Source organism: Homo sapiens, chromosome 10 (genome assembly GCF_000001405.40).
Source record: "Homo sapiens chromosome 10, GRCh38.p14 Primary Assembly".
NCBI classification, from domain to species: domain Eukaryota; kingdom Metazoa; phylum Chordata; class Mammalia; order Primates; family Hominidae; genus Homo; species Homo sapiens.
This window is the reverse complement of record NC_000010.11, coordinates 113603590-113629191: the sequence shown is the minus strand read 5'-3', so window position 1 is coordinate 113629191 and position 25602 is coordinate 113603590. Positions and strand designations below refer to the sequence as shown.

Sequence of the window (25602 nt, the reverse complement as noted above, 5' to 3'; positions counted from 1 at the left end):
GGGCCCGGTGGCTGTACCTCCCAAGTGGAGATCTGCCTGACCATAAAGGAGCAGGGAGCAGTTCTTCTAGGAAGGCAAATGCAGGATCAAGATCTTCTTAACTCTCCCATCAACTTTGTCCTGTCTCTATCCATGCGCCCAATGAGAGCTTTGTGGTTTTTCTTTTGTAGCTGCAGTACAAGGCTGACCTGGCATGGATGAAGGGAGTTGGGTGGCTGACAGAGGGGAGTCTCAACTTGGAACAAGCCAAGAAGGCTGGACAGCTGGTCAGCGAGGTAACCTGCACTGGGGCCTCTGGCCTCCAGTAGTCCTCAGCCCCTGACACATGCAGGGTGATCTTTGCCTCTAATTCCCTTTCTCTATCCTCAGATTTATTTTGGCTGTGATTCAAAGTGGGAGTACTTCATTTCACACCTGTAGCACATTCTCAGCTAACTTTCCACACCCTTAAACTTACTGAGATGGTGTCATTAAAGAAGCCTACTGATTTACTTTAAGTAGCAGTTACATCCAAAGAATAATTTGGTTTAGAAAGGTGTAATATACAGCACCTGGGAAAACAGCACTTCTTAGGTGAGCAGCTTGTGATTCCTTTTGAATCAGAAAGTCCAGTATTTGGAGGATACTGTTTTCATTATGCCTGTGCCTTAAATTCACTGCAGATTTCAGAAAAGTCACTTAACCTTCCTGATCCTCTTTCCCTCGTATAAAAATGAAGAGGTTGGCCTGTAATCCCACTACTTTAGGAGGCCTAGGTGGGCAGATCACGAGGTCAGGAGATCGAGACCATCCTGGCTAACACGGTGAAACCCCGTCTCTACTAAAAGCACAAAAAAATCAGCCAGGTGTGGTGGCACGTGCCTGTAATCCCAGCTACTCAGGAGGCTGAGGCAGGAGAATTGCTTGAACCTGGGAGGCAGAGGTTGCAGTGAACCGAGATCGTGCCACTGCTCTCCAGCCTGGGCGACAGATCGATACTCTGTCTCAGAAAGAATAAATAAAATAAAATAAAAATGAAGAGGTTGGATCAGATACTCTCCCAGGTCCCTGCAGCTCTAAGCCTTTGCCTCTCTTTACACCATAGAAAGCTGGCTCTGGCAGCAGGCAGAGGAGGACGTTTGAAGGACATTTCGTTTGGAAGTGTCACTATTTCAGGAACTTTGTTTGGAATCTTCCAAGAGGATTCTTGTTTCAGGGCCAAGAAGGCTGAGTCGGCATATCTCTTGCAAATTATAATAATGGTGATAATAATAGCTGCCATTTAAGGGCTGATAATCATTATTGAATCATCACTTTGGGCGTATTATATACATACTGTCATGTATAGGTTGCCACAGTCTTCTGTGATTAGATGGTATGATTAGCCTATTAATATTCCCATTTTACAGATAAAGAAAGTGAGATTTAAGTTACACTTTAAGTAAGTAGAAGAGCTGGGATCTGTACCCAGTGTGTTTGATCTGGTGCCCCAGCTCTTGACCATGAGACAGTATTGTATCTCAAAAGCTTATCTTGTAATTTACTCTTATATTTCCACTGTACTCACCCTCCTCTGAGACAGAGACATATTTAGGATTAGAATATAGAATGAGGTGGAGAGAAAAGCATAACCCTTTAGGGCTTTCATTATCTAGCTTCTTGGAGACCAACTAAAGTCCAGGTGGAGCAATCAGAGCCCCGTCTGTCTTGGACAGGGGTGTAGCAGAGGGGAGAGAATGCAGCCAGTTGGTCCTTGAGATTCAGGAATGTCAGTTTCTATCTCATTTCCTGTATTACCTACTAATTTTTAAGCTCCTCCAAGGCCAGGAGGATATTACTTCCTTCACCTTTTTTATGTTCCTTCTGTGCTCTGTACGGAGTAGTTTCTTGGCTGCTCAGCAAGTACTTGTGATTTGACCAATGCATAGTCTGGGTTAACTAGGAATTTCCAACAATGGCGGGGTAATGTGACTCCCTTCAGTTATGTGGTGAAGGAGTTTTCCCATTCAACACAGTGGAACTAGGGAGGAAAATTAGAAGACTGTTTGGAATGTTTTCTCTAGAACTTTTTTCCCCTAAAGGCAGAAAATTTGGAGTTTCCAGTGTTCCAATCACTGTGTTGGGTTCAGTTGGTTGCTATAACCCTCTTGCTGATGGCATGGGGAGTTTTGCCAGAACCAGGCTGTGAGCTCATCTCTGATCTCCCTGCCATGTGAAGCTTTTGCTTCCACACGCCGTTTTCAGTGGCCATCTTTCCCAGCAGCTTTGGCAGTTTCAATGGAAAAGCCAGAGGAGCTAATCTTCAGGAAAGACAAGAAGTCCCGGAGGGGGGACAGAATTAGCACATTGAAAATTTGCCAATTAATTTGTGGCTGTGAGATGGGGACACTAGGAGGACAAGACCTCAGTGATCTGGAAAATCAGAAACTGTGAAGGCGAATCTCACCTGACCGCAGGCTTCTGTCTGTGGCTCTGTGTCTCCTTCCTTAAATCTGCTGCTTTCTGGACAATTGTGATAACACCATGACAATGGCTATGTCCTAACACTGTCCCAGGGACCTGACTCACAGGTAAAACATGGTGATGAAGCCTCTGCTCCCCACTAGACTGAAGTAGCTTCTACTGTTGTCCCCATTGTACACTCCAAGCAAGGGTGGCTCAGGTTGGATTGAGTGATGTGCCGGAGGTAATGAAGCTGGAAGGATGTACAGGCAAGATTTGAACCTCAGTCTTCATCATTGTAAAGTCCAAGTTTCCTCCACCTCACCTTCCTATGTCAGGTCTATATTTATAAAATGTATACCTCCCCAGGGCACACGGTGAAATACAGGGTTACTGAGGAAGAAAATTACATTTCCCATTCAGTAATAGCAACTAAATCAAGTTCACTGGAACAGGCTGTCTCAGGGCTGTGTGGTTCTGTTCAAGCTGCAGGAACAACTAGAACATTCCTCCCAAGGAAATGCTTGGACCACAGAAAGAATGTGTGTGTGTGTGGGGGCACATGAGTAGGGTGGTAGGGGCAACCCAATCCTAATGCTGTGGGGTCCCTTTCCTTTGGAAACAGAAAAACTACCGGCAGAGGGTCGATGAGCTGAAGTTCACCAGCGTGACCGACAGCTCCCAGATGGAGCACGCCAAGAAGAGCCAGGAGCTACAGAGCGGGGTGAGTCCTGGGCTGCCCTTTCTCCACCAAGCTGCTGTGTCATGGGCCTGGGGGACCTCCAGGGACAACAGCAGGTGCCGCCCAGGCACAATCCAGAAACCAAAGAGCCTTCCCTCTAAATAGGCTGGACCCAGCTTTCCCCAGGCTTCCAGGCTGTTTCTGGAACTGGACACCAGGCCCCTTGCTTCATCCACCACCATCTCCCCCGATTTTATTAGGGATAGATGCAGGGCTGACTTTATTCCTTTTCAGCTTCCATATTCTCTAGTTCCTTTTTTCTTCTGACTCCTATCTCTCATCAAAGACTCTAATTCTGGAGCCAGGAGAGAATTATCTTGGGGGAAGAAAACATTTGCGTTTGGGGTGTGTGCAGGTCACACCCACATAAGCGTATTTATGGGGCCAGAACAAAGAAGCACCACACACATTATTTACAGATTAGTTCTCTACACCAAGGAGGACCATAGTTGCTGCAATCTGTCCAGGACTTTCCTAGCTTTCCTTCCTAAAGGTCCAGGTAAGATATACCTGCCAGAAAGGATACTATCAACATAACTCAGAGTCAGCAGAAAGCCACTGTCAGGAAACTCAAGTTGGGGGTGGAGAGGAAGCAAAGAGAGAAAGAGAAGAGTGATAAGTTTGCCATGGAGGAGATGTCCACGCATGCTCACTTCCTGGTGTCAGTACCCATGAATGGATTAAGGTTGATTATGGAGGGGCAGGAGGCAGAGCATGCTTCTTATTTTTCCCACCTGGGGAGTCTGTACTAATCTGAACCCCCTGGTGGGGTATTTTTTTGGCCACAGACAGTGTAAATAGCAACAGCTTGCAGAGGTTGATACCATCCCAAAGGAAAGGTGTGAAAAGAGAAATCTTGGAGGGGTTTTCAGGTTGGCTCCCTGCTGCATTTTTCTCCCAGCTCCTCCCCACTGCTTCTCCTTCTCTCATCATCTCCTTGACTGTATCCTGCCACTCAGAGTCTGATCTGGTGGGTTTTGTAATGGACTTTCTGTGCAAGTCAGAGAAGTGCCAACCAGACAGAGACACCATGAGGGATGCCACCCTGCCCACCTCGCCCTTGCCACCTGCTCCTGACTCAGTGCTCTTTCCCAACAGGTGGCCTACAAGGCAGGAAATGAGCAGTCTGTCCATCAGTATACCATCAGCAAAGACGAGCCTCTCTTCCTGCAGGCCCGAGCCAATGCTGCAAATCTCAGCGAGGTACAGAGAGAATGAGTGGGCAGCAAGAACTCTGCTCCCCTTTGTGTATAGCCACCTGGTAAACCAAGCCCACCAGCCATGGCATAGTGTCTGTATCAACTGAGGTTACATACATCTGGTTGTTGTAAAAACAGCTCACCCAGCAGATCTGGCTCCTGATCAGTGTTTTAGGGGGAGAGGAGGACAGCTTTCATAGGAATGAGCTAGTGGAGGACTTGAGCTGCTGATTGTATCCTGGGGTTGGAGGTAGGGGTTATTCTAGGTGCCAGAGTTGAAACAGCATAATCGTGTTAGAGGGGAGTAAGAGCTCAGACATTTGCTCCAAATGGTCTGGGTTTGATCCTCGGTTGCCACTTACTAGGTGTGTGACCTTGGGCAAATTCTTTGTTTCCAGGTGTCCCATTGGTAAAATGATACCAATATTAGTCCCGTCCTTACTGGGTTGTCATGAGGTTTCAGTGAGTCTCTATACATCAAGCACTCAGAGGCAAGTGCACAGTGGTAGCTGTTAGTCATGAAAGCATCCATAGTTCCAACTTCCCCTTCTCTGTATCTTCTGGGGAAAGTGTTTTCTTGGCTCTCCCTGCTTAGCTCCCAGGTCTTTGGGTTCCTCATCTGAGAAATAGATGGGGAGGAGAATTGGGAGGAGAAACAGAGGTTAAATTGATTCACATGCAGAAAGGGAAAGGAGGCTTCCAGAAGAAAGATCTCGACATTTGGAGATAGGAGCAGGAGAGAGAACAGGAGGCGCAAGGAAAAGACCCAGGTGGACTAGAGAGGCTGGGGGAAGGCGGGAGGAAAGAGAAAGAGGTGCAGCTGGAGCCGCTGCTGGCAGGGTGGGGTGCGTGGACAGAGATGGAGAATAGACTTTTCAGAAATGTCGCTGTGTTGTGCGATGTTATCCTGCCTTTGGCATGTTTTTGAGACTTCCACGAAAACTCCTAGTATTTGTTAAGGCTTCTGGAGTTTAATTTCTGCTTTTTTTGATTGAAGCCCTATGTGTTAAAAGGCCTTAAGGCAGGAAGAAGGCCTGGCTGTATTCAGACTACATGATTTCTGTGGCTCTCAGAGAAGGACGTAATAATCAGTATTGCTTTCCTAGAATCGTCATTAGAATCTAGAGAAATGCTCTCACGTGAGAACCCTCTCACATGAAAACCCACTCACCTTCTCTCCTAAATCCCCTTAGAAACTGTATAAGAGCAGCTGGGAAAACCAGAAAGCAAAAGGGTTTGAGCTGCGTCTTGATTCCTTGACCTTCCTGGCAGCCAAAGCCAAGAGGGACCTGGCTAGCGAGGTGAGTCTGTCCCCACCTTGTACAAGAGACCGCAGAATCCTGCCTTTTTATACCGGGGAGATTCTCTGAGTGTCTGGGCAGGTTCTTAATCTCTCTGAATCTCAGGATTCTTATCTGTAAAATGGAGATGATAGCAATCACCTTGCAATGAGATAATCACATCTGTGCCTATCTATTTAATAACTGCTTGCCACACACTGATTTTCAGTAAGTGATGACTTATTATTTGTAGTAGTAGCAAGAGTAAGAATCCAAATTTCTCGCTTTACAGATAAATTGATGCCCAGAGACATTCCATGACTTTCTAAAGACGTTGTGGTCTGTTAATGGTTAATACAGGCTCTGGTGTTAGATAGACCTTGTATAAAATCCCACCTCTATCATCCATTAGCATTGTTACTTCAGGCAGATTGTTTAAACTTTAAAAATCTCAGTTAACTTGCTGGTAAATTGGTAATTGCAAAATAATGACAACGAAATGGAATGAACTGACGTACATGAAGTGTTGTACAGCCTAATGCAATCTGTTAGGAGTTGGATGTGAGAGAAGAAGCTTGAGCAAGGATGTATGTCAAACTCTGCTTCCTTTATCGAGAAAGTCTTGCTTCAAAAAAAGATCAGGTGAACCAAAAACAACTGGCTTGGTGATGTGGTTGGTTTACATTCTGACATAAGCTCTTTATCTTGTTCTTAGTTGGTAACATTTTACAAATCGGCACTGGTCTGTGGATGCACTTGAGTTACACAGGCTTGTCCTGTGCTTGGTTTATACCAAGTGTTCGATAAGTGGTGGCAGATATTGATACTGTTGTTGTTGTCAGAGCTGAGAGTAGAACCGGAATCTACCACTGGCCAGAGCAATGATAATGTTGAAAATCATGCCCCACACTGGTGCCTTCTGACAGTTTTCACAGCTTTTTCATATTTATTCTTGCTTCTGGTCCTTGTTACTCTCGACCTAGTGTTATTTTTCAAACAATGTGCTCCTTTTTGCCCCTCATACTCCCCCAAATATGTATGTACTCCAGTTATCTTTTAATTTCAGTTCCTTTCATGAGCAGCAATTGTACTTTGGCTATTCTGTATGCTTCTCATTTCACGGCTACTTTTATTTATAACCCTGAGTTTTCTGGCAGCTGAGGTGAAAAGGGAAATAATAGGTAATACTATTTTCTTTCACTGATGAAAGAAAATGTATCGGATGCTCAAAAAGGCAAACTTTCATATGATTCTAATTCTAATAGGATTCTGTCCAATGGCTTTGTTTCAGCTCCCATGCATGGAGTCTGAAGCCTAACAATTCCTTTAGGAGGTTCTAATGTATCCCTGCTCTATTCCTCTTATTTAGGTGAAGTACAAGGAGGATTATGAGAGATCCAGAGGGAAGCTCATTGGGGCAAAAGATGTACAGGGAGATTCGCAAATGAGCCACTCACTGCAAATGTCCAAGCTGCAGAGTGAGCTGGAGTACAAGAAGGGATTCGAGGACACCAAATCCCAATGCCACGTCTCCCTGGACATGGTCCACCTCGTGCATGCCCGCAAAGCTCAGCATTTAGCCACAGACGTAGGCTACAAGACAGCGGAACATCACTTTACGGCTTTGCCCACAGACATGAAGGTGGAATGGGCCAAGAAGGCTTATGGCTTACAGAGTGATGTAAGCTCTGTGTGAGTGTGTGCACTTGTGTGTGTATGTGTGTGTTGTGTGTGTGCTAGTGCAAGTGTTTCCCTAAGCCATTCAGTGCAACAATTTATGCTATGGGACACCTGTTTCTGGATCCCTAAGTGGCAACACTTTACTTTGCTAGTGGTTTAACTTTTATTCAAACTAGACCGATTTTAGGTTCTGTACTAACACACAGAAGAAATCATAGAGTTACTTTTTCCTTCTTGGAATTCTGGACTACATATGTTTTCCAGGTTTCTTTTTATTGCCAGGGGGGAGGTATCTTTGTGTCATTCCTAGTGGTGGCCTGCTAGGGGAGAGCATCGCTGATAACTCACCCCGACTTTGATAGTCCCCATTTTTGGAATGGGTGGGTTGCTAATTTTCAATAACCCTTTCCCTGTCCTCCTTATCCTCCCCTCCCAGTTCTACTTTCTGTCTTCAGGTAACTCTTGCACAAGAATGGGGGTGAACTGAAAAGGCAGGTCAGCTGCAGCCAGACTGTCACACAGGAAGGTTGTGTGTGTGTGTGTGTGTGTGTGTGTAGACACACCCTTCCTGGTAGAGCTGTTTCATGATAGATGGTGATATACTAGTTTTAGAGAAGTGTCCATTTAAATGACTTTCCATTAAAACTACTCATTCAATGGCAACTAAAGAAATGAGAAGAAATACACCCTGCCCCCCCACTGAGGTGGCTAGGAAGGAATCAGCACTGTGGGAAGCCTCCGCTGCCTTGTGAAATTCCCTCAAATAGCGCCCGCCTGGGTTCTGTTGTGAATTCTCATTTTCTTGTCCCCCGTGTGTCATTTTAAACAAGAAAACTGGTAATGCAGACAATGAGGACGTGCTTCTTTCCGAGTAGACTCGTCCGTAATGAGGGGCAAGCTTGGTTTGGCCCCTCCTGCGTCACCCCCAATAGTGTTGGATGGGGCCTAAAGCCACTGTCCCAAGGGATGGCTCCAATTAAAGGGGGAATTAATTGACTTTTGGGAGCCCTACCTGTGACTTTGCAGAAATGCATAAGACAAAAGTGGCATCTAATTTGACTCAGCTGGCACCAAGGCTGTGTTGGGAGCCGCTAATAGCCCTTTAAATGTCTGTGCACCAACAATGGCCTGCTTTTTTTTTTTTTCTTTCTCCTTTGTCAGAACCAATACAGGGCAGATGTGAAGTGGATGAAAGGCATGGGCTGGGTCGCCACCGGGTCATTAAATGTGGAGCAGGCGAAGAAGGCAGGAGAACTCATTAGCGAGGTGAGATTTCCTGACAGCCTGTAACAGGCCTGGCTGCATTAGGCGTGCGGCGTCTCTGTATAAAATTAAAATAATTTCCACTCAAAAGGCAAAGAAAAAGGCAAAGCCACATGAAAGGCCTCAAAACCCAGACTAGGGCTGGTAATTAGAGGGAAACCACGTACGAAACACACACCAGTAGGGGCCCTGGCAAAAACAAAGTGGGTGACAAATGATATTATGAATAATAATGACAATCAAACAGAGCTCAATTGCTACCCACCAACTTACCTTTTTAATGAAGCAACACAGGAGAGATGATGAAAAGATACATTTATGGCACCCAAAAAGCTCTTTGGTGACTTTAGGCACATTTTCTTCCTCTCCCTTTCTGCTACAGAGTCAACAGTTTTTGAATATTCACGTGGTGGCCACCATGTGACATGGTTCTTTTTTGAGGGAGAGTCTCACTTCAGTTTACTCAGTTCTGCCTACTTATAGCCACCTTGGCTGGACCCTACAGCACCACTGCTTGCGAAAAGAGTCGTTTCTTCGTATTTCAGGACAGTGTCAATGAGCAGCTCTTTCTGAGTTTTTCAACTTCGGCACTACTGACGTTTTGATTTTTCTTTGTCGTGGGGTTATCCTGTGCCCCGCAGGATGTTTAGCAGGACGTCCTACAAGGATGTCAGTAGTGCCCTCTGTGACAACCAAAAATGGATCGAGACATTGCCGAAAGCCCCCCAGGAAGCAGAATTGTCCCTGGTGGAGAGGCACAGGACAAGGCTCCCAGGAGGCTGGACACCATCAGACCACTCACACCCGTGCTCTTTATGTTTGCTTGCAGGGAGACTTGATCAGAAGACAAGTGACCATTTGCCTAGTTGTCTTCAGAGTAGGCCTGGTCTTTCTGGACTTTTCTGGGTGGGGAGGGGACCATAATGGCCATAGTCCCACAGGTTGTTAGCTTTGGCAATGAGCCTCCTGGATTTTTTTTTTTTTTTTGAGGAGTCTTTCTTTCTGAACCTATAGTTAAAATAGAAAGACACCCTTGTTGGTTTTTCAAACACACCTGTCCAGCATTAGTATTTTCCCATGGAACGGCATTCTCACTACCTGGCACAATGCAGAGTTGACTTCAAAAAGTGGCCTTATGCTGATCAGCCTGATTTTTAGGGACCTTGGTCAACACTCAAGGCTCAGAAGACCCTGGGAACTCCATGGGGATAGCACTGCTATAATTTGTTCATTCTAGTTCAGGAGAGGCCCTCTGGGAGGATAAATGTGAAGAACTCACAGGAATAAACATTTAGGTTTGAGGATTCATGATCCCAAACTCTCAATATTGGGCTCACTCATAAAAGGAAATGAAGACTAAAGACCATATTTGCATAATTTAGACTTCAGGGTGATTTCCTTCGTGTGTCTTAATCTGGCAGCCAAGGGATCTTCAGGGGACCATGTATCCCACAGTTGTTAGTTAGCCACCTCATTTTGCATACTTTCTCAACAAATTTGCTTATCCTCTTTGATGGGCTTGTCTCATACTAGTCCTCAAAGTTTAGTAAGTAAGGCAAGGCATCTTTCAGCAACTTTCCCCCCCATCTCATTTTAGGCTGTCACATTTACAAGTTACTGTCGAATTGGGCCACCTTCTTTTATTTTACTTATTTATTTTTGAGATGGAGTCTTGTTCTGTTAACCAGGCTGGAGTGCAGTGGAGTGATCTTGGCTTACTGCAACCTCCGCCTCCTGGGTTCAAGCGATTCTCCTACCTCAGCCTCTTGAGTAGCTGAGATGACAGGCACCCACCACCACACCCAGCTAATTCTTGTATTTTTAGTAGAGACGGGGTTTCACCATGTTGCCCAGGCTGGTCTCAAACTCCTGATTTCAGGTGATTCGCCCTCCTCAGCCTCCCAAAGTGCTGGGCTACAGGCGTGAGCCACTGCACTCGGCCTGGGCCACCTTCTTAATTCCAGAGAGAATGCCCGGCACTGTTGAAAGAGCCACAAATGCACACGCACACCTACGATCCAAAGCAGAGGTCAGAAAGCCTTTTCTGTGAAGGACCAGATAGTAAATAGTTTTGGCTTTGTAGGTCATATTGCCTCTGTCACAACTAGCTGGAAAATGGCCATAGGCAGCACGTAAGTGAATGAGCATGGCCATGTTCCAATAAAACTTTATTTACAGAAACAGGTGGTGAGCTAGATTTAGCTGGCTATTGATTTGTGTTGTCTTAAGACAACCCAGTGTACAAAAATCCAACCAGATAAAGAAGAGTGTGTTTAAGACAATTATTCTGCTTTGGAAAGCATAAACTCTATGATCTCATTGAAGTAATTATGGTTTCTGTCTCCTAAAAATGTACCTTGATTTTTAAAAAAGAAATTAATTTAAACAGATTTTCAGAATACTTCAAAATTGGGTATCTAGGTCTTTGCCAGCATTTTTGTGATTTTTTTTTTTTTTTGCTTCAGTGTCTTTCAAACTGTGTGATGACTCCTTTGAATAATAGCACCCTTTTTCCTGTTATTGTAATATTTTAAAGAATTATTTCCTGTGTTAACTGAACTAGGCTCTAATGTGACTGGACGGCATACGCTCGCGGGCTGCTGAATGTGAGGGTTTTGACTGCAATAATGTCTGTCAGTGTTTTTTTGTGGAAGGAAAATAGAAAGCTTAAATGGATAAATGTAACTCTGAATGCTCTTTCTTGCTTAGAAGACCCAAACTAAGATATGTAAACAACTGCGACAAAGTATTTGAAGCCTATAAAAAGAATCCTTTTCTAAGTGTGTATCCTACAGTATTTTACTAGTATAACCTAATTTTGAGATGTTTTCTTTGCACCAGGTAGAAATACTTTAATGTTAATTGACATGAGGTTATTCTTAAATTGAAACAAATATTAACCTGAAGGCACCTAGGATATAAAGATGGAGGAAGCAGAATAATAATTGTGTTCACAAATTCACTCTAATCTCAAGCAACCTATGATTTTCTCTTTCAAATGGCATGAAAGAGCAGCACAAAATTCACAGCTTTGATCTTTTTCTGCTCAACAGAAGAAGTACCGTCAGCATCCAGATGCTTTGAAGTTTACCAGTATTAAAGACACTCCGGAGATGGTCCAGGCCAGAATTAGTTATACCCAAGCAGTGGATGTAAGTGATAATGTATATACATTATGACTCTAAGAGTGGGCTCTTCTTTCAACACTGCGATTGAAGCGGAGGGGTTCTTGGGTTTGCTCCTTCTGTTGTCCTAAGGATGAAGGCGCTCCCTGTCCTTTGCAGAGGCTCCCTTAGCGGGGGGTGCTTCCTCATTAGGATGCAAATGGGGGTGTTACTGCACTTAGAATGCCAAGTGGGGCTCCACCACCCCACTGCCCCAAGATGCTCTCCCTCCTTCCCATTTGCATGTCTCACCGATTCATTCGTGGTGAGGCTGTTTTCTCCTCTCCTTTTGCCTGAAAGTGTTGTTTTCAGAACTGGGTGAAATTCTTGGTAATTGGAATCCTGACGCTGTGCTTAGAGCTCTTTAGGACCCAAGGGCAGCAATTGTTGCTCTATGAATTTCCCAGAGACTTTGAACATGATTTGGGTCTGATTTATATACATCAGACTAACTTTCAAGCCATTTCCCATACTCCTTTATGATGCAAAACCAAGATTTGACCCTTTTCCCTCTGTGGGAAAGGTTGGCTGGGGTGCAGGGTTGCAGGGTCGGCTGGAGACTAAAGTGAACGATGAGGTGCTGAAAAAAAACACTTTGTGATGTAGATTAACCCTGTTTGGCTGATTCTGCTAAGAGATACCCATGGATCTTTGTGCAGGGCAAACCTGGCTTTTAAATACCTTCAAACCATTCAACTTTCCATGGGGAAAATTTACAAACCTTGGGGGCATAGCTTTCAAAATTCTCTTCCTTGTTTCCCAATTGAGCAAATGATTCTGGTTGCGCTTTATTTGACAGGCATTCTGAAACAGCCTGAGTGCCTGTCAGAATCTGGGATGGGATGATTTACAAGCTTATGGATTTAGGAATTTATAACTTCTTCATAATCAGCCCATCAGAATCAAACTGAATTCTGAGAAACACAGATGGTCAAACAAGAACTTTTGTATGAAGAAAAACAATACCTGTTTCTTCCTTATCCTAGCCAACTCTAGGGGGCACTGCTGTGATACGTAGAAACTTGGATACATCTGATAAGATTTGGGATGGAAAAACCCTGTTTGGAAACTTTCTCTGGTGGCTGATGCCAACTGCATGTGTCATTATTAACTATCAGGGTATCCGAAGCTTGGGTCAGAGTTCTGGGTAAATAGAGTCCCAGATCCACCCAGGAGACATGTCTTAGGGGAAGAATATTTGAGACGGGGGAACGGAGGAGGATTGAGATAGGGAGGAGAAAACCTCACCTGTACAAGAGCCATCTTCTTTCTCGCCTTCTGTATCTTGATGCCATCTCATAGCTGATAGTTAATCACCAAATTATTACTAGGTGTTAAGTAAACCTCGTTTTCTCATTTGACACCCATCTCAGCAGTTTACTATGAGTGGGGCGTTCACTGAGGGGAATGCTTCAGCTTGTCATGTTCTGAGCTAGGAAGCAGAGCTTGGAAATGACATGCGTGTCACCGTGCTAGCTGTAAAATCTGGGTGGAGGCAGGGTGCCCGAAATCATGTCTCTATGAGGAGGTGGCAGCTGCAGCAGCTTGGACTCTTGAAGCGTAACCTGGCTGATGGCTGCATGGAATGGGGTCTAGGTTTCATGCAAAACCTCCTTCCATCCACAGAGATTATACAGGGAACAAGGAGAAAACATAAAGCATCATTACACACCGACTGCTGACCTCCCTGAAGTCCTGCTGGCCAAGCTGAATGCCATGAATATCAGTGAGGTGAGGCTGACCCAAGGGGCACGAGTTTTAATGACGGGAGAGCGGGGCTGGTCATGGGCAGGCACACAATGCCCTGTGCTCAGAAGCCCCTGAGCTGGTTTCATGTTCTGCCATCACCACCTTGAAATATGTGATATTTTTGAACAAGGGGCCCCACATTTTCATCTGCACTAGGCCCTGCACATTATGTAGCTGGTCCTGCAGAAGAGTCCAGCTCATTTGAAAGAATGATCTGGGGACATTCTCTGCCTAGTTCAAAGAGCATTGGTTTGGAGGAGCTGGAAAGTGGGAACATCAGAATATAGCTGAGTATATCCAGTGGCTATACCAAGGGAAGACTTGGGGCTTAACTCCTCCTCTCCAAAATCTGTCAGCTCCCCTGCCCACCATTTCTGTTCTTTGGTAGATACATCTGACTTTTCTCTATCTGACATAAAGCACTATGCATATGCAATCTCATGCCTTCTTCCAATCAAATTGCTGCTTAGAAAAACTGTGTCTGTTTGACTCTAAAGCCTTTGCTTCCTCTCCCCTCTATGCCTCAACCCATCCCCCCCAACCCCATCCCCTGCCTACCTCCAAAGAGGTGGGCACGAGGCAGGATCCAACTCACGTGGGTTTAGCTAAGCCACCATGATCTCTAACTCCAACTGGCCAGGGGAGGGAGGGGACCCACCACAAACCAGATTGCCAATTTGGTAAGCCAGAGTTTAGGAAACCACCAGGTCACTTAAAGGTCTTTCCTTGTGCACATCTTCCCGACAGACGCGTTATAAGGAATCCTGGAGCAAACTTCGAGATGGTGGCTATAAACTGAGGTTGGATGCCCTTCCATTCCAAGCAGCAAAGGCTTCTGGTGAAATCATAAGTGATGTGAGCATTCACCCCCATTCTTGTGACAATGTTCAACACTAACCCGTTTTCACTCCTTTTGCCCGTAACTCCTGCCTTCTTTTGCCTGTGGATAATTCCCTGTCCTCTCCGAACTGACTGTGTCAGGGCAATCAGATAATGACCAGTGAGAAAGAACATATCTTGCAACAAAAAATTCCCCAGCCTGGGATACAAAGCCAAATGCTGGACTGTAAACATAGACCCTGGGCAGATGAAATGCACCCTCCACCGAGGTGTTCATAAAGAGAGTCCATGTGAAGAGATGGCTAACAATGCACCCACCTTCCTCCAGTGCGGGGCCGCCCACGTGCTAATGCATCCTGCCATTTCACAGCCGAGCCCTTTAGTCATTGGGAGTCTTGCATATGAAAGAATAGCCCTTTTGACGACTCCCGCGCATTTTCTTTTAACTCACCCAGCTACTGTCAAAAGAACAAAACATTTTCACCCAATGCCCACCTCTTCCATTCTGTGTCCCTTATCCCTGAGCTGTTCCTCTCTCCCGCTCTCTTTCCCTTTAGTACAAATACAAAGAGGCATTTGAGAAAATGAAAGGACAGATGCTTGGTTCCCGGAGCTTGGAAGATGATATCAGCCTTGCACATTCAGTGTATGCGACCTCACTGCAGAGTGATGTAAGTGGGGGGAGAGGCATCAGCGGCTGCAGGGCCCCCACCTGACAACGCTCACTGCATGGCAACCTAACCTCATTTGTCCTTCTGGACATGGGTATTGGTTCTGTTGCTAACTTGCTACGTGACATTGTTAAATCACTTGTCCCCTCTGGGCTACACCTTCCTCCTCTGTAAAAATGAGGTGCCGGACTGGTTGACCCCTTAGTTCCCTTCTGGGCTGGGCATTCTATAATTTTCACCAGTGGACATGGGCCACTGGTCTGGATTTGACCCTGGGCTGGATTTGGCCTCCAGGGGTCTTTCATTTCGTCTGCAGAGTGGATTAATTGCAAATTTTTAAAAATGGAAAATTTTATATAAAAGTGTTAAGCTTCTGGCCAGAAGCTGGACCTGGATTCCTTAAGGCTACAGTTGGTTGTAGTGGCTTCCTGACCAACAGCTCCATTTAGAAGGGATCCATGCAGTGGGCCAGGCAGCCACCCTCCTCTTCACTTCCTGCTTTACTTCTTTATGCTACCTGCCTGGCCCCTGTAGGCGTCTGAGTTTGCAATGACCCTGTCATTGTTGGTTGTGACCCTCTGGAGGCTGGCAAATGTGTGTAGGTGCTGTCTCCTTGCACATATGTGAGTTGGCTAACATTGGTGATGAAATCTGTATCCAGCATGTTACAGAGGCTAAACGCTTTTATATACAGTGTCTCAGTTAACTGTCAGACTATCTCTAGGAACTCCATCTTGTTATTCTTCCTTATTTTCTCATAGGGAAGTAGAAACTCTGAGTGATTCAGTCTCTTGTCCAAGGTCAGCTACATAGGGGCAGAGCCAGGCCGTGGAGCCAGCTCTACCTCTCATGGTCTTTCCACAGCTTCACGTGTTCTCTGCCATTTTGTATTCTGCCCCAGTTTCCCCATTCATAACTTTTTTTTTTTCCTTTCCATCTTGAGTTGCTGACCTAAGAATATGAGGTTGGATATGAACTGTCCTTGGCATTATGCTAGGGTGAGGACAGAATGAATGGAAGTGGGGATAGGAGGTCAGGGAGGGGTGGCCAGAGCAATGAAAGACAATGGAAGGACAAAGGAGGATGAGGAAGAGGTGGTGATTCTGCATCTGATTATTCCCAGAGTTTCCCAGACCTTTAAACACAGCTCCTCCAAGGACTATAGTCGAATCTATGGTCTGGAATGGGTCTTCCCCTCCCTCTCCCAGGGTGTGTTTTGGGTTTTGGGGAATGCCTATCCCTGAGGCTTGACTCTCCAAGCATCCTCCCCACTGCTCCTGGCTCCCACGTTGGCTAGGAAAATCATTGAATGCTTTGAAGAAACTCTTCCTAAGCTAGTGTGAGAGGAGAATCCCTCGTGTCTGAACTTGAGTGGGCGATGGGAAAAAATATGGTGGGCAGGGAGCGATGCATCTTCTTGCCTCTGAAAAATAGAAAGATCTAAAGATTTGAGCAAGGGAATCACTGACATTATTTACTGTTCCTTGGACTTTTGTATGTTCCTCAAATGAGGGAACCATGGGCCTTCTTCATCCAGATCAATGACCTCCAGGAGCTGGGGGTGGTAAGTGTCAGGGCCTAGAGACAAGCCCTGGTTATTAGGCCAGTCTCTGCAAGAAAGGAGCACTGGCCCTGCCAAGAACTTCCCCTGGGCTTACCTCCAGACAACTGCATTGCAGTTGCCCTCCCTGATGGTCCTGTTGCAAATAGTGGCTTTGAAATAGCTGCTGTTGCTCTGTCTGCCCCTCTAGGTGAATTACAAGAAAGGCTTTGAACACTCAAAGGCGCAGTTCCATCTGCCGTTGGACATGGCCGCCCTGGTGCATGCCAAGAAGGCTCAGACCCTGGCCAGCAATCAGGACTACAAACATCCACTGCCCCAGTACACTTCCTTGGCAGAAGACCTGAGGCTGAGCTGTGCCAAGAAAGCTCACAAATTGCAGAGTGAGGTAAGGAGACCTGGCCTCTTTCTCAGGGCCCCTTCTTCTCTTAGGACCTCAGGGTGGTGACCTCCAGGCTCCTGTTGGCTCAGTGAAATCTCTGGAAGTGAGAAATCCTAAACCCAAGTCTTATTTTGAAACCCAGTCTGAGAGTTCCTGCACATCCCTTAAGCACAGTTACACAAATCTAATCATAACCACAATTTATTATTTTTTGCTGCACTCTAAGCATTGTTTTATGCATTATCTCACAATCAGCCCATATCATTAGTTTATTCTCATTTTACAGAGAAATTACAGTGAAATGCAGAGAAGTTAAATATCTTGTCCAAGATCACACAGCTATAGTTAGAAAGAGAGGGCTGGGATTTGAACTTGAGGTTTGAATGACAAAGATGCCCTCAAGGTTCATGGTTGTGCATGTTTAAGATTTGCCAATGATATTGCCTCTGGCCTCAAGTCTCAGGAAGGATTCCTCTTGGTGCTTCATGCGTTCCTGTGCCACCCGCCTTCTGAGGAGGGCTAAGATCTGTTGGGAGAGGCTGCTCAGAACCTGTCAGGACTGACGCACTTCAGGGAGTGGAGAGGGAAATCAGGGCCCTGGAGACCCTCCTTGGGTCCCTTTGAGGAGTCTTTGTACTCCTCTGACATGCATTTCTCACTCGTGATCCCGATTTCTGAAGCAGACAGGCCCAGGAGGGTCAGGAAGCATTGGAGACTTCCTCACTCCCAAGGAGAGCCAGAGTGTTCTTCCCAACAGGCATCCACATCCTGTTCACTACTCACCTTATTTCCCAGCTTGCTAGGTTTCCATGCTATGAGATTTGCAGGTAATGGGCCCGCTTAGGAAAAGAAAACTCCGCACAAAACCTCTTTCCTGGTTTGGCAGTGCCTGCGATCTGAGCGGCACTCAGATCTGGGTGTCTGTCGTCTGTTTGGATTTTACGCCTGTGTACAGCGTTTACTGAATGACATAAACTGTCAGGAACCTGAGAGCAGCTGTAGGAACGAGGGAGCTGCCACGCTCATCTCGGGGGCCCGTTTGTCACTTGAGCGGAGCCCTCACTTGCCCTGCCTCTGGTTGTGATAGCGATTGGAAGGCAGGACGCCCAGGGGGCGCCTCACTGGCTGAAGGGGAGTGAATGTGGGAACTCTTTAAACTGTCAGCCCGAATCATTCAGGTACACAGACTGGCCCCCACCCACACGAACTCAGGCAGGCCTTTGCCAGATTCTTTTGGATTTATTTATTAGTTCTTTCTTAACCCATGATTAATTAATGCCACCCGCTGCTGCTGAGTTTTGTTTTAGAAGACCTGTTAGACCATTTCCACATTTGCCCCAAGACAACTGACTTTCTAACCACAATCCGCTTCAGTGTTTATTTTTTGATAGCCCACATTAAAATAAAAATCTGTCTCGCTTCTGTGGAACAGCTACTCTGAGACAAGTGACAGCAGAATTATTTTCTTCTGACCTACATTGCTTCCCCCCTAGTGAGCATTTACCAAGAAGTGTTTGTGCGTTGGCTGAGTTTAATATATCCGGAGGGACGGGTTCAGCCTTGAGTTCTAATTATGACGCTGTCAGATGCTGTGTCATGAGACCTCTGGTTTTGCTTTGCTTCCCTGTTCTGAGAGCTTGGCTTTTCTGATTCTTTGTATTTATTATTTCTTCTAGAATTTGTACCGGTCAGACCTGAACTTTATGCGAGGTGTTGCATGTGTCATTCCAGGCACGTTAGAGATTGAAGGGAGGAAGAAAGCATCGGAACTCATCAGTGAGGTAACTACAGATGCTGGTGTTGAGTGTCCAGGACATTTCCACAGCAGAGGATAATCAGTTTGTTTCTTTCCTTTTTCTTTCTTCCTTTTTTTTTTTTTTTTTTTAATTTGAGATGGAGTCTCGCTCTGTCACCCAGGCTGGAGTAGAGTGGCACGATCTCTGCTCACTGCAACCTCCGTCTCCTGGGTTCAAGCGATTCTCCTGCCTCAGCCTCCTAGGTAGCTGAGATTACAGGTGAGTGCCACCATGCCTGGCTAATTTTTATATTTTTAGTAGAGATGGGGTTTCACCATGTTGGCCAGGCTGGTCTCGAACTCCTGACCTCAAGTGATCCACCTGTTGTGGCCTCCCAAAGTTTTGGGATTACAGGCGTGAGCCACTGCGCCCAGCCAATCAGTTTGTTTCTTACCACTAAAGCCAGTTGGATGTTAAACTCTTAGCAGCAGTGACTCACTCCGTAACCCCCTGGGCTGGACTTTTTTTTTTTTTTTTCTTACTGGATTCTCCATTCAGACTGCATGCCATTTAAGACAGCTTTGAGGATATGGAGTCAGTTCCTCTATTAACATATAAGGATTATTCACTGGCCCATGCGATATTCTCTCTGTGTCCCTTTGAAGAGTGGCCCTGTGGTACAATGCAAACAAAGCAGCCTTTGAAGACCAACAGAGAGAGATTGACATTCCAGGCCAGCACTGATTTGCTGTGTGACCTCAAGCCAGTGACCTACACCTCTCTGAGCCTCCACTTCTTAATTAGTCAAATGGGTATACTCAGACCCCTCTCTTTTAATTTTTGTGAGGATTAGCACTAATCTAAGCACTGTGCTTTTCTGGCAGCTGTATATGAAATGGTTACTATAAGCTTGAAATGGTGATAATTTCTTGGTAAAAATAAAGAAGTCTTAGAATTCTAAGCTTTCTGATTTCCTGGGGAATCTTGCTCACCCCTGGGAGGGTGACAGGACTTTAATTCATGGTAGATGCAGGGACAAGAGGGGATAATGGAAGGTACTGGAAGTAATAGGTGTTCAGCAGTCAGCCTGAGTGCTCAGATAAGCTTATGTTTTGCCTGCTAGGGGAGTTTAGATTTAACCTCATGCTTTGCTTTTCCAGAGAAATCTCTAAAGCAAGTGGTCTCTGTACCTCATGGTGCATCAGAACCTTAAAAAACCTTAAGAAATGCAGAGGCCTGGGCCCCACTGACTAATTTACTGAATCCCAGTCTCTCAGGGTGGGGTGTAGGCACACCTATTTTAAAGTTTTATTTATTTTTATTTTAGTTTATTTATTTATTTATTTGAGACAGTCTCACTCTATCACCCAGGCTGGAGTGCAATGGTGCGATCTCAGCCCACTGCAACCTCCGCCTCCCAGGTTCAAGCGATTCTCCTGCCTCAGCCTCCCAAGTAGCTGGAATTACAGATGTGCACCACCATGCTCAGCTAATTTTTGTATTTTTTAGTAGAGACAGGGTTTCGCCATGTTGGCCTGGATGGTCTCGAACTCCTGACCTTAGGGGATCCCACCGCCTTGGCCTCCTAAAGTGCTGGGATTACAGGCATGAGCCACTATGCCTGGCATGTCTGTTTTTTTAAAGCTGCAGTTTGTGATATGCCATCAAGGTAGAGGAGCACTGGTTCTCTGTCCAGCAAAGATCTGGAACAAACCACAAATTTAAATAGTCATGTTCACATTCATGGCAAAGGACTAAATCTCCCTTTTCCATTTAGAAGGTTCTGATTCAGTCCATCCTATCCTCCTCTCTGCTTCCTCATCCCAGTGAGTTTTGGGGTCACAAAGGCAGGTGACAATCTGGATTCTGGAGTGATAGACTTGCAGCCTTTGCAAAACGAGGCTTTATGGCTAATACTTAAAGAACTGGTTCTGCTTCTGGTTTTTATCCCTTACGGAGTCGTCTTCTTCCCTTCTTGTGTGTGAATTCAGAGTAAATATCGGCAGCATCCCCACTCATTCAAGTACACAGCTGTGACAGACACTCCCAACCTCCTTCATGCGAAATTCAGCAACCAGATAACGAATGAGGTAAAATCTCCTGATGGCTTTGGAATGGTCTTTTTAAAAACTGCTCGATTGTTAAAAATACACGTGAATGTGTTTGGGGTGAGAAAGAGCATGGGTGTTTATGTGGAGGTTTGGAAAGAAAAGAATGTCATTATATGGAACCTAAACATTTTCCAGAGGAAATGAAAGCCCAGTTGGGAATCTGGGATTGTCTGTAGTCTTGCTTTCCAAGTGCAATCCCAGACCAGCTACATTAGCATTGCCTGGGAGCATACTGGCAAGGCACAACCTCAGATCTACTGACTCCAAATGGTCATTTGACAGGATCATAAGATGATTCTTTGGCACATGAAGATCTGAGAAGTACTGGTCTGTAATTCATTTGTTCTATCTAGGCAAATATTGGCTAACCAATTTTACATTGTCAATCTGATGTGGGAGGATTTGTGGTTATCCAAGGACAGTTAAATTGTAAGATGTTTGTCAGGCTTCTCAATTATCTACCTTCTCCTCTTCTCACTCACCATTTACCCAATTTACACTTTCATGTATCCAGCAGAGGGCAGGTGCAAGGGAAGGAATCTCATTCTGTAAAATTATCATTCCAGCCTCATTGATTCTACTTCTTCTTAGTGGCTCTCTTACAGGTTCAAAATAGGTGAGCTTGGCAGAGAATTACATTTTGAACCACCTTTAGGTTTTAAGATTCTCCTTCTGACTCTAACTTATAGAAGTCAGCTGAGATTTGGTTATTTACCCTATTAGTTCCTACTTGCTTCAACTGAAAAGCAAGAAATTGCAGCTTGGGCTTAAGGATGGAATTCATGATCTTTTAGAGTGATAGTATCACTTTTAAATTCCTATTTCATCTTTTCTGCTTACTTTATGAGCTTTGTGCTGTGGGATAACAGTGCCTTCTCTGATGGCCTCTGGCGTTAGCCAACTCAGCAACCATAGACCCATTTCTTTTTTTCTTTTTCTTTTCTTTCTTTCTTTTCTTTTTTTTTTTTTTTTTTTTTTTTTTTTTTTTTTTTTGACGGAGTTTCGCTCTTTCACCCAGGCTGGAGTGCAGTGGTGCTATCTCAGCTCACTGGAACCTCCGCCTTCCAGGTTCAAGCAATTTTCCTGTCTCAGCCTCCTGAGTACCTGGGGTTACAGGCGCCTGCCACCATGCCCGGCTAATTTTTTTTTGTTTTTTGTTTTGTTTTGTTTTTGTTTGTTTGTTTGTTTGTTTGAGACAGAGTCACGCTCTGTCGCCCAGGCTGGAGTGCAGTGGCGCGATCTTTGCTCACTGCAACCTCTGCCTCCTGGGTTCAAGCAATTCTCCTGCCTCGGACTCCCAAGTAGCTGGGATTACAGACGCCCGCCACCATGTCAGGCTAATTTAGTATTTTAGTAGAGATGGGGTTTCTCCATCTTGGTCAGGCTGGTCTCGAACTCCTGACCTTAGATGATCCATCCACCTCAGCCTCCTACAGTGCTGGGATTACAGGCATGAACCACCACGCCTGGCCCTAAGTTTTGTATTTTTAGTAGAGACGAGGTTTCACCATGTTGGCCAGGCTGGTCTCGAACTCCTGACCTGGTGATCCACTGGCCTCATCCACTCAAAGTGCTGAGATTATAGGCATCAGCCACCACGCCTGGCTCATAGACCCATTTCTAATCATAAGAATGGATGTTTTTGTACAAGATGAGGCCATCCAGGGCAGCATTGGTGTGATTCACCTGTGGAAAGGATCCTGGGGCTTTAGTAAAGGGTACAGGCCTGGGTTTGGAGATGTCCCTTCCACCTCCCTTCTCCTAAATTTCCCAGGTCTTTGTATGATCTTTATGCTCTGTCCTCAAGGACAAAGTCTACGATATAAGGAACCTCAGGAGTATTCTTAAATTTATTTTTCTTTCCCTGGCCTATTATTCAGCAAAGCACATTGCCATTCCTTACATATTCCTTTTACATCACTCGATTTGACTCCTGAATGATTGTCTTTATTGAAATAAACATCTTCCCCAAGACTGGAGATGTATCCATGACACAATGAACGGTTTTTTGCTATTGTGTTTCCTCAACTATCGTTGAGGGACTTCCAGCACTGCAGAAATGCACAGCACTTATCTCTTGCATTATTATTATTATATTTTTTTGGCCTAGCGCCTCTATAAAGCAGCTGGAGAGGATGCAAGACACGAGTATACAATGACCCTGGGTCTGCCCGAGTTCATCCGAGCAAAAACGAATGCAGCCAACCTGAGTGACGTAAGCCCTTTTGTTACTTAAGTTCAAGCATGCTCCAAAGCCATGTATGTCTACATCTGTGAAGTAACCCAACACTGACCTTTCTGGCCTTCACAGAAGCTTTTTAAAATGTGTAGCTTAGATGCTCATGTTAAATACACCTTCTCACAAATATGAGTCCATGAGTGTACCCAGGGTGTGTACTAATGAGATTTGCTGCACAAAACAGAAATTGATTCTGGAACACTGTGCTATAAATGAAAGGGGTGGCCTTTGCTCGTTGATTCATGTAATTTTTTAAAAAAGATTTACATGTGTTCCCACTTTAGGCAAGATACAAAGAGTCCTGGCGTAATCTTCGTGCTCAAGGCTACAAGCTGACAATAGAAGCGCTCCCCTTCCAGGCTGCCCGGGCCTCTGGAGATATAGCCAGTGATGTGAGTTGAATGATATGACCTTCCATCTTGCCTAATTTCTGTTAACTTCATGTAAAACAATGTCTACGGCTGATTTTCCTGAATTAAAGCAAATCTATAACCATGTGAGACAGGATGTCACCTGCAGAATATATTAGTTATGAATGAGATTCTTTGAGGGGGGAAAAGAAAGGCTCTATTAATCAGAAGCTAAATTCAGGCAAAGGTCTCTAGCAGGAAGGAGATGATGATTTATTTCTAATTGCAACGTCTAGGCGACGGTCCCCTTGTAATGCATGACTGCCTGTCTTCTAACTCCACCCAGATTTAGAACGAGAACTCTCAATAGAAATTGCAATACAGCCGGAACACATCTCCCTCTTGGCTCTCTGTAGTTTCACGCATTGGTGTTAGGATTTGATGGCTGTGTTTCAGCCACTCTGTTGATAACGTCCATAGCTTTGGGACATGAAGGTGACTTTCTCTTTCCCACAAACAAATCACAGAAAAATGTGGACTTCAAATAAATGGATCCTGTCTTTTGGGTTTAATGTTTTGCCAAGTGCGAACGGATAAAGCACAAGTTTCTCTTTCACCCTTTTTGATAAATTCCTTTTGGCCATAGGACATGTAAGGGGAGTGAAGCCCTTCCTTTAGTTCTGAGGATCTGATTTTAATTAGATAGGAAGAATGGAGCGATGTTTTAATTGTTCATCCCCCAGGGAGGAAGGCACACTCTCAGGCCAGCCCCACTGTGGTTTTTCTTATAATCATCACCTCCTAGTGTAAGAACAAGTGATTTTTCTAGAGTCTGCAATGAAAACGCACAGATAGAATTTGACCGGCCAGCCCTTTCTTGCAGTTTCTCTACAGACATGACTTTGTGAAGGAGCGAGGGAAACTCATAGGGCCCCAGAGTGTAAGAGACGACCCCCGGATCCAGCACTGCCGGCGCATGGGCCAGCTGCAGAGCGAGCTTCAGTACAGGAGGGGGGCGACCAGCAGCCAAGCCCAGTTCCATCTGCCCATGGACATGGTGCACCTGGTCCATGCCAAGAATGCCCAGGCTCTGGCCAGCGACCACGACTACAGGACACAGTATCACAAGTTCACAGCACTGCCCGAGGACCTGAAGATGGCCTGGGCCAAGAAAGCCCATGCCCTGCAGAGTGAGGTAGGGGTGGCCTTGTGGAATGCAAACCAGCCCCCAGCCTTTCTCCTTTCACCAAACCCGGGTGTCAATCTCTGCTTCTTCCTTAGTCTTTTGGGCTCTCCTGCCCCTATCTGCCTTCCCCAAACAATGATTTGCTGGGTCTATGTCATTTAGGTTGGAATCATTCATTGAATCATTCAACTAATCTTTATTGAGGGCTAGCACAGTGGCTCACACCTGTAATCCCAACACTTTGGGAGGCTGAGCCAGGCGGATCACGAGGTCAGGAGTTTGAGACTAGCCTGACCAACATGGCGAAACCCCGTCTCTATTAAAAATACAAAAATTAGCCAGGCATGGTGGCATGCACCTGTAGTCCCAGCTATTTGGGAGGCTGAGGCAGGAGAATCGCTTGAACCCGAGAGGCAGAGGTTGCTGTGAGCTGAGATCGCGCCACTGCACTCCAGCCTGGGTGACAGCACAAGACTTCATCTCAGAAAAAAAACAGTCTTTATTGACCACCTTCTGTATACTAGCCACCATTCTAAGCCCTGAGAGTGCAGCAGTTAACAAAAGAGTCAAAAAATTCCTGTGCTCAGGAAACTCCTGTTATACTAGAGGGAGATAAGCCATGGTGAATACATGAAATATGTAATATGTCAATGGTTGTACATGCTATGGAGACATATAGAGCAGGGAAGTGGGGCAGGAGGTGTGAGTGTGCGTGTGTGTGTGTGCGTGCACGTACACGTGTGCCATTTAAAATAGGGCATTAGGGTAGTTCTCATTGAAAAGTTGATATTTGAGCAAGAGCCTTAAGGAAAAGACAGAAGGGGATAGGGAACTCCAGGCAAACTGAATAGCAAGTTCAAAGGCCAAGGACTTGAGTAGGAGCAGCCTTGACCTGTTTGAGGCTGAAGTGAAGGAGCAGCCTTGGCCTGTTTGAGGCCGAGTGAGTGGGGATGGAATCACAGGGTCTGAGCAGGGCCTAGGCTCTGCGGAGTAAGGACGAGGGTGGTGATGTGATAAGACTGTAACCA

The 25602-nt window shown here is 45.5% G+C and overlaps 1 protein-coding gene across 11 annotated transcripts in view, besides 2 other annotated features; it reads left to right on the top strand.

Annotated features, from left to right (window-relative positions):
- The window catches only part of NRAP (nebulin related anchoring protein), a 75328-nt gene that overhangs the window by 34850 nt on the left and 14876 nt on the right, over nucleotides 1-25602 (top strand). For 5 of the 11 annotated variants that reach the window (NM_006175.5, NM_198060.4, XM_005269864.3 and 2 more), the window contains 16 exons: nucleotides 171-275; nucleotides 3047-3145; nucleotides 4262-4366; nucleotides 5556-5663; nucleotides 7012-7323; nucleotides 8484-8588; nucleotides 11639-11737; nucleotides 13376-13480; nucleotides 14246-14353; nucleotides 14896-15009; nucleotides 16761-16958; nucleotides 18629-18733; nucleotides 20680-20778; nucleotides 22910-23014; nucleotides 23323-23430; nucleotides 24272-24583. In NM_006175.5, coding sequence (NP_006166.3) covers nucleotides 171-275; nucleotides 3047-3145; nucleotides 4262-4366; nucleotides 5556-5663; nucleotides 7012-7323; nucleotides 8484-8588; nucleotides 11639-11737; nucleotides 13376-13480; nucleotides 14246-14353; nucleotides 14896-15009; nucleotides 16761-16958; nucleotides 18629-18733; nucleotides 20680-20778; nucleotides 22910-23014; nucleotides 23323-23430; nucleotides 24272-24583 — 2187 coding nt within the window. The remainder of the gene's footprint in view (nucleotides 1-170; nucleotides 276-3046; nucleotides 3146-4261; nucleotides 4367-5555; nucleotides 5664-7011; nucleotides 7324-8483; nucleotides 8589-11638; nucleotides 11738-13375; nucleotides 13481-14245; nucleotides 14354-14895; nucleotides 15010-16760; nucleotides 16959-18628; nucleotides 18734-20679; nucleotides 20779-22909; nucleotides 23015-23322; nucleotides 23431-24271; nucleotides 24584-25602) is intronic. The other 6 variants (NM_001322945.2, XM_005269865.3, XM_047425253.1 and 3 more) reach the window with 3 other exon arrangements.
- Nucleotides 12000-12501: an enhancer, noted in NCBI's record as "OCT4 hESC enhancer chr10:115376450-115376951 (GRCh37/hg19 assembly coordinates)". NCBI's record gives its function as "activates a minimal SCP1, AML or CMV promoter by ChIP-STARR-seq in primed H9 embryonic stem cells {active_cell/tissue: H9 hESC(primed)}" and the evidence as "EXISTENCE:reporter gene assay evidence [ECO:0000049][PMID:30033119]".
- Nucleotides 17888-18182: a silencer, noted in NCBI's record as "tiled region #959; K562 Repressive non-DNase unmatched - State 13:Ctcf". NCBI's record gives its function as "represses a minimal TATA promoter and a strong SV40 promoter by Sharpr-MPRA in K562 cells {active_cell/tissue: K562}" and the evidence as "EXISTENCE:reporter gene assay evidence [ECO:0000049][PMID:27701403]".